This window comes from Homo sapiens, chromosome 11, assembly GCF_000001405.40.
Source record: "Homo sapiens chromosome 11, GRCh38.p14 Primary Assembly".
NCBI classification, from domain to species: domain Eukaryota; kingdom Metazoa; phylum Chordata; class Mammalia; order Primates; family Hominidae; genus Homo; species Homo sapiens.
In genome coordinates, this window is record NC_000011.10 from 3,486,230 (window position 1) to 3,500,139 (window position 13,910).

At 45.1% G+C, this 13,910-nt stretch overlaps 1 pseudogene, besides 1 other annotated feature; it reads right to left on the bottom strand.

Moving 5' to 3' along the window:
- The window catches only part of ENPP7P15 (ectonucleotide pyrophosphatase/phosphodiesterase 7 pseudogene 15), a 70,864-nt pseudogene that overhangs the window by 56,472 nt on the left and 482 nt on the right, over nucleotides 1-13,910 (bottom strand).
- Nucleotides 2,950-3,451: an enhancer, noted in NCBI's record as "H3K27ac hESC enhancer chr11:3510409-3510910 (GRCh37/hg19 assembly coordinates)". NCBI's record gives its function as "activates a minimal SCP1, AML or CMV promoter by ChIP-STARR-seq in naive H9 embryonic stem cells {active_cell/tissue: H9 hESC(naive)}" and the evidence as "EXISTENCE:reporter gene assay evidence [ECO:0000049][PMID:30033119]".

A 13,910-nucleotide genomic window follows, 5' to 3' on the forward strand; every position in this document is an offset into this window, starting at 1 on the left:
CCTTACATCAGGAATGCACCCTGGCGTGTTATGGATGTGGGTGAAATGAAATGTCTGGAATTTGCTTTAAAATATCCTAAAATAGCAAGAAGGAAAAGAAAAGTGGGTACTGGAATGAGATTGGCGAAATGTTGACAAGTTCTTGCAGTGGGATGATGGGTGCATGGGGGTTCATGGTATAATTCTTTCCCTGCTTTTTGTGTATATGGGAAATTTCCATAATGAAAAGTTAGAGGTCGGGCACGGTGGCTCATGCCTGTAATCTCAGCATTTTGGGAGGCTGAGGTGGGTAGATTGCTTGAACCTAGGAGTTCAAGACCATCCTGGACAACATGGTGAAAACCCATCTCTACTAAAAATGCAAAAATTAGGCATGTTGACAACATGCCTGTAGTCATGTTGAGGCACAAGGTTGAGACATGAGAATCACTTGAACCCAGGAGGCGGAGGTTGCAGTGAGTCAAGATCGCACCATTTCACTCCAGCCTGGGTGACAGAGTGAGACTTGGTCTCAAAACAATTTTTAATTTTCTTTTTTTTTGAGATGGGGTCTTGCTCTTTTGCCCAGGCTGGAGTGTAGTGGTGTGATCTTGGCTCACTGCAAGCTCCACCTCCCGAGGTCACTCCATTCTTCTGCCTCAACCTCCAGAGTAGCTGGGACTATAGGCACCCAGCACCATGTCCGGCTAATTGTTTGTATTTTTAGTAGAGATGGGGTTTCACCGTGTTAGCCAGGATGGTCTCAATCTCCTCATCTCGTGATCTGCCCACCTTGGCCTCCCAAAGTGCTGGGATTACAGGAATGAGCCATCGTGCCCGGCCTTAATTTTGTTTAATTTTTTTCTTTTTTGAGACAGGATCTGTAGCCCAGGCTGGAGTGCAGTGGTGCGATCCCTGCTCACTGCAGCCTCTACCTCCTGGGTTCAAGCGATCCTCCCACCTCAGCCTCCCGAGTAGCTGAGACCACAGGCATGTATCACCACACCTGGCTAATTTTTTCCCTTTTTCTAGAGGCACGGTCTTGCTATTTTGCCCAGGCTGGTCTTGAACTCCTGAGTTCAAGCAATCTTCCCATCTCAGCCTGGGAGTAATCCCAAAGTGCTGGGATTACAGGTGCGAGTCACTCTACCCAGCCTCAACTGTTTTTCATGACTCCACTTTTTCTCCCCTCTTGGAAATGAGTAGTCTTTGAGGGAATGTCTTTTTTGTCTCAATCTCTGGTTTCTTTGCTCAATGCACCTGTGTTTGGGGCTTTGTTGATCTCCAGGCCTTTTTCAGCAGAGTTGTCCCTGGAGAGCAGGATGGGAGCTGATGGCTTCTCAGCATCTTTTAACTCAGTTTAAAGATGACTATCAACAACATCTAGTCAGCATCTGTTGCTCTCGGCAGCTGGGACTTCATTTCTTTTCTCTTTCTCCACCTCTCTAACCTCTTTAAGACTCTGGCTTTGTCATGGGTACAGCATCACCTGTGTGGCCCTTAGGCTCTCTTACTTACATGTGATCTGCGTATTATGTCTTTACTTCAGGGCTTCTCAACCAGGGGGTGATTTTGCCCCCCAGAGAACATGTGGCCATGTCTGGAGACAATTTTGGTTGTTGCGGCTGGAGGAGGTGGTGCTACTGGCAGCTAATGGGTAGAGGCCAGCGATGCTGCTAAGCATCCTACAATGCCCCGGACAACTCCCACTAAGACAGAATAATGATCCAGCCCCAAATGTCAATAGTGCTGAAAGTGAGAGACCCTGATTCCATCTTAGAGATCATCCAAGCACACTTGGCCAAATTGTTTTTGCTACTGTCCCATGAAGAAAAGGCAGACTCATGACTGATGGCAACATCGATGGGAATTTTGTTTACCTCTTCTTTGTGGACTTTGGGATACAATGACTTACCATTTGTGCAAGTTGTGCATTGCATACCTCCAGGGGGCGCCACCCACATATTTATGAAAATGCCACCCCAGGAATTGCACAGTACATAGTCTACATGGCAATAAGCAATTGCTCTGGTTTTGGGGTTGCCCTGGGGTGCTCTGGAACTGGGAGGAACTTTATTTCTGGCCATTAGAGGCCCTGAGCATGACATTGAGTATCCTTTCAAGAAAGGAGAAATGTTGAACAGAGAGGACCTCATTTTTATAACTCTTGACCATCATCTAGTTACAGAGCATCCACTTTTCACCCCTGGGCCATATCCATTTGACGGATGAAAAATCATCAAATTATAATATCATGGCTTATACTTTTGATAGCTTCTGCCCGGAACATGGCGGTAACAGCTTCTCATTTTCAATTGATTCATTGGGGGAGAAAATATACACGGCTGCCCTAAGACTTTCTATTACATACCATTTGTTTGACGGGATTTCTTTAGTTTCTGTAGCATAACTTATTCTAACTGGTCCTCAATCACTTTGCAATAAAACCTGAGATCGTGAAGATGTTCATTGTCATTACCAGTGACGGAGCAAGTACAGAGTTCTGGAGAGGGAAGGAATCGAGAGAGTTAAACTAACAGAATGAGCCGCTCACCCTCAGAATTGCTTTTAATCTTGGTGAGAACTGAGGGGAATTTTGACAGGGTTCAGGGGGATTGCGAGGAGTGGGGCTGGGAAGTGGCTGTTTGCACGTGTGGTCAGCAAATCCAGTGAGGGGGTCCATGTACTGTGGGCAGCCCCACAGATGGAGTTGGGATTGCCCTAGACTGAGTACTGGGTCATCAGTACTCAAGACATCGAGGCCCAGGCTGGTGCAGGAGATACATTTCACTGCTTCAGCCTTTCTTCTATCGCTCCTCTCCAATGACAGTCCCCGATTTTCCACCGAGGAGTCACCAGTCCCCCACGACATGTTTGCGACTGGCCATTCCCCATCCTGATCTGGAGCTGGGGCATGTAGTCCCAGCCTGGATGTCAGCATCCTTCCACCACCCTGGCCACAGTGATTGGGTCTGAGAAGCAGATTAGCCAAAGGAGAAACAATCTTGGAAATTTCATGTTCATGCTTAAGAAAGTAAAATGGAAAGCGCGGGGAGGGTGAGGGGTCATTCTGATGATATAGTTTTAGGACCTGGATGTAGCCACACCTGTAGCTGTCAACTCTGTGCCACAGTACTGCTTTTTTTTTTTTCCTTCAAATTTAAATACTTTCTAAAGGCAAGCTCTTGCTATGTGGCTTAGGCTGGTTTTGAAAAGTCCCTTTTGGGGGGATGCTTTCACTGCTTCACTTCCTTTCTATGACAGCTCAGGGAATCAGAAGACAAGGGAGATGACTTTCATTTATTTTTTTGTTTGTTTGAGACAGGGCTTGCTCTGTTGCCCAGGCTGGAGTGCAGTGGTGCAATCACAGTTCACCACAGCCTTGATCTTCTGGACTCAAGCGACCCTCCTGCTTCAGCCTCCTGAGTAGCTGGGACTGTAGGTGGCTACCACCATGCCCAGCTAATTAAATTTTTTTTTTTTTTTAGAAGTGAAATCTCACTATGTCACCCAGGCTGGCCTCAAACTCCTGGGCTCAAGTGATCGCCCTGCCTTAGCTTCCCAAACATACAGGTGTGAGCCCCCACACCAGTCAACGCTGTGGTTTTATGCACCTCGTGTCCCCCTACGCCCTGAGCAATGATCCTCCTGCTTCAACCTCCCAAAGTGCTGGGATAACAGATGTGAAGCAGCATGTGTGGTCCACATAGTATTCTTACGGGTTAAATTGAGTCCTCTTCAAAACATGTTGAAATCCTAAATTCTAGGAGCTCAGAATGTGACCTTATTTAGAAATACAGTTATTGCGGGCCAGGCGTGGTGGCTCACGCCTGAAATCCCAGCACTTTGGGAGGCCAAGGCGGGTGGATCACCTGAGGTCAGGAGTTTGAGACCAGCCTGACCAACATGGAGAAACCCCTTCTCTACTAAAAATTCAAAATTACCTGGGTGAGGTGGCGGCGCATACCTGTAATCCCAGCTACTCGGGAGGCTGAGGCAGGAGAATTGCTTGAACTCAGGAGACGGAGGTTGCATTGAGCTGAGATCGCGCTATTGCACTCCAGCCTGGGCAACAAGAGTGAAACTCCGTCTCGAAAGAAAGAAAGAGAGAGAGAGAGAGAAAGAAAGAAACAAAGAAAAAAAGAAAAAGAGAAAGAAAGAAAGAAATAGGGTTATTGCAGATGCTATTGATTAGGATGAAGTCTTGCTGGAGTAGGGAGGGCCCTAAGTCAATGACTGGTGTCCTTATAAAAGAGGAGAGGACACACCGAGTCACAGAGACACAGGGAAGAAGGCCATGGATTGGACGGAAGATTGGACTGATGCGTATGCAAACCAAGAAACACTGAAGACTGCCAGGAGACCACAGGAAGCTAGGAAGAGGCAAGGCAGGACTCCCCGACAAGTGCAGGAGGGAGCGTGGCCCTGCTGGCACGTCCGTTTCAGACTGCTGGCCACCAGAGCCACAGGACAATCAATTTCTCTGGTTTCAAGTCACCCAGCTTTTGGTACTTAGTTGTGGCAGCCCTAGGGAATGAATATAAGTATTTTCTCTTTTTTTTTTCTTTTTTTGAGATGGAGTCTCGCTCTGTTGCCCAGGCTGGAGTGCAGTGGAGAGATCTCGGCTCACTGCAGGCTCCGCCTCCTGGGTTCACGCCATTCTCCTGCCTCAGCCTCCTGAGTAGCTGGGACTACAGGTGCCCGCCACCACGCCCAGCTAATTTTTTGTATTTTTAATAGAGACAAGATTTCACCGTGTTAGCCAGGATGGTCTCCATCTCCTGACCTCATGATCCGCCTGCCTCAGCCTCCCAAAGTGCTGGGATTACAGGCATGAGCCACCACGCGCGGCCAAATATAAGTACTTTTAAATTATCTCTCCTCTTCTCTCCATCTTCTTCTAAATCATCATTTTTGCCTAAGCAACAGCTAGGGTCTAATACGGATGTGGCGACTCACTTCAAAGTGGGGGAAGCCCCCATGTGCACCCAAAGCTCCTGCTGCCTTGGCCCTGGGTTCAGATACTGGACCATCATTGTGGAGGCTTGCTGGAGATCTGAGCCAGGACACCATTCTCTGTTGCCTATAAACAAAGGCTGGTGCTCGCCCAGGCATGTAAGCTCCACCGAGGATCTGTTTGGAAGGCAGAATTCTGAGATGACCCCTTAGGTTCTTGCCCTGGATAAATGCCAGGTGTAATCTCCTCTCCCCTGGAGTGTAGGCAGGACCCGTGGCTTGCTTCTAATCTATACCTATGAAAAAGTTGAAGGGATTTTGCAGATGTAACTAAGCCCCTAATCCATTCACTTTGAGTTAATCAAAAGGGAGATTATTCAGGGTGGGCCTGACATCTTCAGGTGAGATCTTCAATGAAGGTCTGGAGGAGAGAAACTCCTTCCTCCTGGTTTTTGGTTTTTGTTTGTTTGTTTGTTTTTGACATGGAGTCTCACCTGTTGCCCAGGCTGGAGTGCAGTGGCACGATCTCGGCTTACTGCAACCTCTGCCTCCTGGGTTCAAGTGATTCTCCTGCCTCAGCCTCCCAAGTAGCTGGGATTACAGGTGTGCGCCATCATGCCCGGCTAAGTTATGTAGAGACGGGGTTTCACCATATTGGCCAGGCTGGTTTCCATCTCCTGACATCAGGTGATCCACCTGCCTCGGCCTCCGAAAGGGCTGGGATTACAGGTGTGAGCCACCTTGCCCGGCTGGTTTTGAAGAAGCCAGCCACATGAGTTCCACAGTTGCATGGAAATAAATTCTGCCAACAACCATGTGAGGTTGGGAGAGGACCCCAAGCCTCATATGAGACACTAATTCCAGCCGACACCTTGATCACAACCTTGTAAGAACCTGAGCAGAGCACCCAGCTAAAGCTGCACCCCCAGACTCCTGACCCACAGGAAAGGAGAGGGAATAGATGGGTGTTTTAAGCTGCTAAATTTGTGTTGATTTGTTATGCAGCTTAGAAAATGAATACATCATTCCATTTTTAAAAAATCATAAGCTAATCACACCATTCGATTTTTTTTTTTTTTTTTTTTTTTTTGACAGAGTCTCACTCTGTCGCCCAGGCTGGAGTGCAATGGCGCAATCTTGGCTCACTGTAACCTCTGCCTCCCAGGTTCAAGTGATTCCCTTGCCTCAGCCCCCCCCCAAGTACTGGGACTACAGGCAAGCACAACCACACCCAGTTAATTTTTATATTTTTAGTAGAGATGGAATTTCACCATTTTGGCCAGGCTGGTCTCGAACTCCTGACCTCAAGTGACCTGCCTGCCTCAGCCTCCCAAAGTGCTGGGGTTACTGACATGAGCCACCGCACCCGGCCTGACACACCATTCCACTTTAAGGAACTTCCAGGTGCTGTGGTCACGCCCCTCTTGTGTGGCATGCAGGTGGGGAGAGATGGGTTGGAAGATGACTGGATGGGGGCATGGAGCTAGGTGGGAAGAGGAAAAGTGTCTTGAAGGAAGTAAGTCCCTTCAGATAAGGGAGGGAGAAGCTTGATCAATATGCAGACTTTCACAGTCCTTCAGTCCTGGGGATATTGGTGGAGAGACAGGTCTTGCCTTACATTTGAGAGTTACCATCCCAGGCAGAGGCCCTACTTCCACCTTCTTGCAGGTGGGGCTGGCGAGCAAATACTTAGAGGAGAAACGAACACCCTTTGTAAGCATGTGAAATGTTTCTGGAGTGGAGAGATGATGAAGCAGGATATTTGGAGTCAACAGCCAAAGTTTTTATTTTATTTTTTATTTTTTATTATACTTTAAGTTTTAGGGTACATGTGCACAACGTGCAGGTTTGTTACATATGTATACATGTGCCATGTTGGTGTGCTGTACACATTAACTCGTCATTTAACATTAGGTATATCTCTTAATGCTATCCCTCCCCCCTCCCCCGACCCCACAACAGGCCCCAGTGTGTGATGTTCCCCTTCCTGTGTCCATGTGTTCTCATTGTTTAATTCCCACCTATGAGTGAGAACATGCGGTGTTTGGTTTTTTGTCCTTGCAATAGTTTGCTGAGAATGATGGTTTCCAGCTTCATCCATGTCCCTACAAAGGATGTAAACTCATCATTTTTTATGGCTGCATAGTATTCCATGGTGTATATGTGCCACATTTTCTTAGTCCAGTCTATCGTTGTTGGACATTTGGCTTGGTTCCAAGTCTTTGCTATTGTGAATAGTGTCGCAATAAACATACGTGTGCATGTGTCTTTATAGCAGCATGATTTATAATCCTTTGGGTATATACCCAGTAATGGGATGGCTGGGTCAAATGGTATTTCTAGTTCTAGATCCCTGAGGAATTGCCACACTGAATTCCACAATGGTTGAACTAGTTTACAGTCCCACCAACAGTGTAAAATTGTTCCTATTTCTCCACATCCTCTTCAGCACCTGTTGTTTCCTGACTTGTTAATGATCGCCATTCTAACTGGTGTGAGATGGTATCTCATTGTTGTTTTGACTTGCATTTCTCTGGCCAGGGATGATGAGCATTTTTTTCATGTGTCTTTTGGCTGCATAAAGGTCTTCTTTTGAGAAGTGTCTGTTCATATCCTTTGCCCACTTTTTGATGGGATTGTTTGTTTTTTTCTTGTAAATTTATTGGAGCTCATTGTAGATTCTTGATATTAGCCCTTTGTCAGATGAGTAGGTTGCAAAAATTTTCTCCCATTCTGTAGGTTGCCTGTTCACTCTGATGGTAGTTTCTTTTGCTGTGCAGAAGCTCTTTAGTTTAATTAGATCCCATTTGTCAATTTTGGCTTTTGTTGCCATTGCTTTTGGTGTTTTAGACATGAAGTCCTTGCCCATGCCTATGTCCTGAATGGTATTGCTCAGGTTTTCTTCTAGGGTTTTTATGGTTTTAGGTCTAACATTTAGTCTTTAATCCATCTTGGATTAATTTTTGTATAAGGTGTAAGGAAGGGATCCAGTTTCAGCTTTCTACATATGGCTAGCCAGTTTTCCCAGCACCATTTATTAAATAGGGAATCCTTTCCCCATTGCTTGTTTTTCTCAGGTTTGTCAAAGATCAGATGGTTGTAGATATGTGGCATTATTTCTGAGGGCTCTGTTCTGTTCCATTGGTCTATATCTCTGTTTTTGTACCAGTACCATGCTGTTTTGGTTACTGTAGCCTTGTAGTATAGTTTGAAGTCAGGTAGCGTGATGCCTCTAGCTTTGTTCTTCTGGCTTAGGATTGACTTGGCAATGTGGGCTCTTTTTTGGTTCCATATGAACTTTAAAGCAGTTTTTTCCAATTCTGTGAAGAAAGTCATTTGTAACTTGATGGGGATGGCATTGAATCTATAAATTACCTTGGGCAGTATGGACATTTTCATGATATTGATTCTTCCTACCCATGAGCATGGAATGTTCTTCCATTTGTTTGTGTCCTCTTTTATTTAGTTGAGCAGTGGTTTGTAGTTCTCCTTGAAGAGGTCCTTCACATCCCTTGTAAGTTGGATTCCTAGGTATTTTATTCTCTTTGAAGCAATTGTGAATGGGAGTTCACTCATGATTTGGCTCTCTGTTTGTCTGTATTGGTGTATAAGAACGCTTGTGATTTTTGCACATTGATTTTGTATCCTGAGACTTTGCTGAAGTTGCTTATCAGCTTAAGGAGATTTTGGGCTGAGACAATGGGGTTTTCTAGATATACAATCATGTCATCTGCAAACAGGGACAATTTGACTTCCTCTTTTCTTAATTGAATACCCTTTATTTCCTTCTCCTGCCTGATTGCCCTGGCCAGAACTTCCAACACTGTGTTGAATAGGAGTGGTGAGAGAGGGCATCCCTGTCTTGTGCCAGTTTTCAAAGGGAATGCTTCCAGTTTTTGCCCATTCAGTATGATATTGGCTGTGGGTTTGTCATAGATAGCTCCTATTATTTTGAGATACGTCCCATCAATACTTAATTTATTGAGAGTTTCTAGCATGAAGGTTGTTGAATTTTGTCACAGGCCTTTTCTGCATCTAATGAGATAATCGTATGGTTTTTGTCATTGGTTCTGTTTATATGCTGGATTATGTTTACTGATTTGAATATGTGAACCAATCTTGCATCCCAGGGAGGAAGCCCACTTGTTCATGGTGGATAAGTTTTTGATGTGATGCTGGATTCGGTTTGCTAGTATTTTATAGAGGATTTTTTCATCGATGTTCATCAGGGATATTTGTCTAAAATTCTCTTTTTTGGTTGTGTCTCTGCCGGGCTTTCGTATCAAGATGATGCTGGCCTCATAAAATGAGTTAGGTAGGATTCCCTCTTTTTCTATTATTTGGAATAGTTTCAGAAGGAATGGTACCAGCTCCTCCTTGTACCTCTGGTAGAATTCGGCTGTGAATCCGTCTGGTCCTGGACTTTTTTTGGTTGCTAGGCTATTAATTATTGCCTCAATTTCAGAGCCTATTATTGGTCTATTCAGAGATTCAACTTCTTCCTGGTTTAGCCTTGGGAGGGTGTACATGTCGAGGAATTTATCCATTTCTTCTAGATTTTCTAGTTTATTTGCATAGAGGTGTTTATACTATTCTCTGGTGGTAGTTTGTATTTTTCTGGGATTGGTGGTGATATCCCTTTTACCAATTTTTATTGTGTCTATTTGATTCTTCTCTCTTTTCTTCTTTATTAGTCTTGCTAGTGGTCTATCAATTTTGTTGATCTTTTCAAAAAACCAGCTCCTGGATTCATGGATTTTTTGAAGGGTTTTTTGTGTCTCTATTTCCTTCAGTTCTGCTCTGATCTTAGTTATTTCTTGCCTTCTGCTAGCTTTTGAATGTGTTTGCTCTTTGCTTCTCTAGTTCTTTTAATTGTGATGTTAGAGTGTCAATTTTAGATCTTTCCTGTTTTCTCTTGTGGGCATTTAGTGCTGTAAATTTCCCTCTACACACTGCTTTGAATGTGTCCGAGAGATTCTGGTATGCTGTGTCTTTGTTCTCGTTGGTTTCAAAGAACACCTTTATTTCTGCCTTCATTTCATTATGTACCCAGTAGTCATTCAGGAGCAGGTTGTTCAGTTTTCATGTAGTTGAGTAGTTTTGAGTGAGTTTCTTAATCCTGAGTTCTAGTTTGATTGCACTGTGGTCTGAGAGACAGTTTGTTATAATTTCTGTTGTTTTACATTTGCTGAGGAGTGCTTCACTTCCAAATATGTGGTCAATTTTGGAATAAGTGTGGTGTGGTGCTGAGAAGAATGTATTTTCTGTTGATTTGGGGTGGAGAGTTCTGTAGATGTCTATTAGGTCTGCTTGGTGCAGAGCTGAGTTCAATTCCTGAATATCCTTGTTAACTTTCAGTCTTGTTGATCTGTCTAATGTTGACAGTGGGGTGTTAAAGTCTCCCATTATTATTGTGTGGGAGTCTAAGCCTCTTTGTAGGCCTCTAAGGACTTGCTTTTTGAATCTGGGTGCTCCTGTATTGGTTGCACATATATTTAGGATAGTTAGCTCTTCTTGTTGAATTGATCCCTTTACCATTATGTAATGGCCTTCTTTGTCTCTTTTAATCTTTGTTGGTTTAAAGTCTGTTTTATCAGAGACTAGGATTGCAACACCTGCCTTTTTTTGTTTTCCATTTGCTTGGTAGATCTTCCTCCATCCCTTTATTTTGAGCATATGTGTGTCTCTGCACATGAGATGGGTTTCCTGAATACAGCACACTGATGGGTCTTGACTCTTTATCCAATTTGCCAGTCTGTCTTTTAATCGGAGAATTTAGCCCATTGACATTTAAGGTTCATATAGTTATGTGTGAATTTGATCCTGTCATTATGATGTTAGCTGGTTATTTTGCTCATTAGTTGATGCAATTTCTTCCTAGCCTTGACGGTCTTTACAATTTGGCATGTTTTTGCAGTGGCTGGTACTGATTGTTCCTTTCAATGTTTAGTGCTTCCTTCAGGAGCTCTTGTAGGGCAGGACTGGTGGTGACAAAATCAGCATTTGCTTGTCTGTAAAGTATTTTATTTCTCCTTCACTTATGAAGCTTAGTTTGGCTGGATTTGAAATTCTGAGTTGAACATTTTTTTCTTTAAGAATGTTGAATATTGGCACCCACTCTCTTCTGGCTTGTAGAGTTTCTGCCAAGAGATCAGCTGTTAGTCTGATGGGCTTCCCTTTGTGGGTAACCTGACCTTTCTCTCTGGCTGCCCTTAACATTTTTTCCTTCATTTTAACTTTAGTGAATCTGACAATTATGTGTCTTGGAGTTGCTCTTCTTGAGGAATATCTTTGTGGTGTTCTCTGTATTTCCTGAATTTGAATGTTGGCCTGCCTTGCTAGATTGGGGAAGTTCTCCTGCATAATATCCTGCAGAGTGTTTTCCAACTTGGTTCCATTCTCACTGTCACTTTCAGGTACACCAGTCAGACGTAGATTTGGTCTTTTCACATAGTCCCATATTTCTTGGAGGCTTTGTTCATTTCTTTTTATTCTTTTTTCTCTAAACTTCTCTTCTTGCTTCATTTCATTCGTTTCATCTTCCATCACTGATACCCTTTCTTCCAGTTGATCGAATCGGCTACTGAGGCTTGTGCATTTGTCACGTAGTTCTCGTGCCTTGGTTTTCAGCTCCATCAGGTCCTTTAAGGACTTCTCTGCATCGATTATTCTAGTTAGCCATTCATCTGATTTTTTTTCAAGGTTTTTAACTTCTTTGCCATGGGTTCGAGCTTCCTCCTTTAGCTCGGAGTAATTTAATCGTCTGAAGCCTTCTTCTCTCAACTCGTCAAAGTCATTCTCTGTCCAGCTTTGTTCCATTGCTGGTGAGGAGCTGCATTCCTTTGGAGGAGGAGAAGCACTCTGATTTTTAGAATTTCCAGTTTTTCTGCTCAGTTTTTTCCCCATCTTTGGTCTTTGATGATGGTGACTTACAGATGGGGTTTTAATGTGGATGTCTTTTCTCTTTGTTAGTTTTCCTTCTAAGAGTCAGGACCCTCAGCTGCAGGTCTGTTGGAGTTTGCCTGGGTGTCAGCAGTGGAGGCTGCAGAACAGCGGATATTGGTGAGCAGCAAATGTTGCTGCCTGATTGTTCCTCTGGAAGTTTTGTCTCAGAGGAGTACCCGGCCATGTGAGGTGTCAGTCTGCCCCTACAGGGGGGTGCCTCCAGTTAGGAAACTCGGGGGTCAGGGACCCACTTGAGGAGGCAGTCTGTCCATTCTCAGATCTCCAGCTGTGTGCTGGGAGAACCACTACTCTCTTCAAAGCTGTCAGACAGGGATATTTAAGTCTGCAGAGAATTCTGCTGCCTTTTGTTTGCCAATGCCCGCCCCCAGAGGTGGAGTCTACAGACGCAGGCAGGCCTCCTTGAGCTGTGGTGGGCTCCACCCAGTTGGAGCTTCCCAGCTGCTTTGTTAACCTACTGAAGCCTAGGCAACGGTGGGCACCCCTCCCCCAGCCTTGCTGCCACCTTGCAGTTTGATCTCAGACTGCTGTGCTAGCAATGAGTGAGGCTCCATGGGTTTAGGACCCTCTGAGCCATGTGCGGGATATCATCTCCTGGTGTGCCACTTGTTAAGACCATTGGAAAAGTGCAGTATTAGGGTGGGAGTGACCCGATTTTCCAGGTGCCATCTGTCACCCATTTCTTTGACTAGGGAAGGGAATTCTCTGACCCCTTGCACTTCCCAGGTGAGGCAATGCCTCGCCCTGCTTGGGCTCATGCTCGGTGCACTGCACCAAGTGTCCTGCACCCACATTCTGACACTCCCCAGTGAGATGAACCCAGTACCTCAGTTGGAAATGCAGAAATCACCTGTCTTCTGCGTCTCTCATGCCAGGAGTTGTAGACTGGAGCTGTTCCTATTCGGCCATCTTGGCTCCACCCCCACTATTATGATTCTTACACAGAGTACTTTGCTTTCCAGCAGCCTCCTCTTCCTCCTTTTTAGGTTGGAATCCCTCTATTTTAGTGGCCACTGGGATTCTGAAATGACCAGGTCTTTGTCTCAGAGACCTCACGCATGCTCTTCCCTCTGCCTGGAACACTTTTGCTTGCTCTGGTCCCCTGAGATCTCTTTCAGCTCAACTGCCCCATGCTCAGAGACCCCCTTTCTCCCTCTCTAGTTTGAAGCCAGTTTACCCCTGTAGTCAGTGCCTGGAAAACTCGTTTTCCTCCTTGATGCCTCCTGAGTTGTCACGGGATGTATGTGCCTGTTTGGGTGTCTGGTGTCTGTCTCCCCGACTGGACTGCATGCTCCTGGTGAGCTGGAGGGACTGGATGAGCAGAGGATAAGCAAGGCCCTGGGGCTGGAGGGAGCAGGGCAGAAGGCACAGGCAAAAGGCCTTTGTGATCCGGAAGGAAGTGAAGGAGAGGGAGAGAGATGAGAGAGGCTGGCAGAAGATGGGCCAGGGGCCAGGCTGTGTGGGATCTTTTGGGCCACAGAAAGACATTTCAATTGTTATGTAAGAGAACCAGGACACCATTGGAGGGTATGAGTCACCTCATCTAACTGAGCTCTGTAAATGTCAGTGTTTTATTATTTTTATAGTTATTTAAAAGTGATTTTAGTTATTTAACTTTTTATTTTTATTATTTTTTTTGAGACAAAATCTTGTTCTGTTGCCCAAACTGGAGTGCAATGGCATGATCTCGGCTCACTTCATATTCCACCTCCTGGGTTCAAGTGATTCTCCTGTATCAGACTCCCGAGTAGCTGTGGTTATAGGCATCTGCCACCACGCCCAGCTTATTTTTGTAGTTTTAGGATAGATGACGTTTCACCTTGTTGGCCAAGCTGGTCTTGAACTCCTGACCTCAGGTGATCCACCCACCTCAGCCACCCAAAGTGCTGGGATTACAGGGGTGAGCCACCATGCTTGGCCTTATTTACTTTTTTAAAAAAGTTCAGGCCAGGCACGGTAGCTCATGTCTCCAATCTCAGCACTTTGGGAGGCTGAGGTGGGATGATCACTTG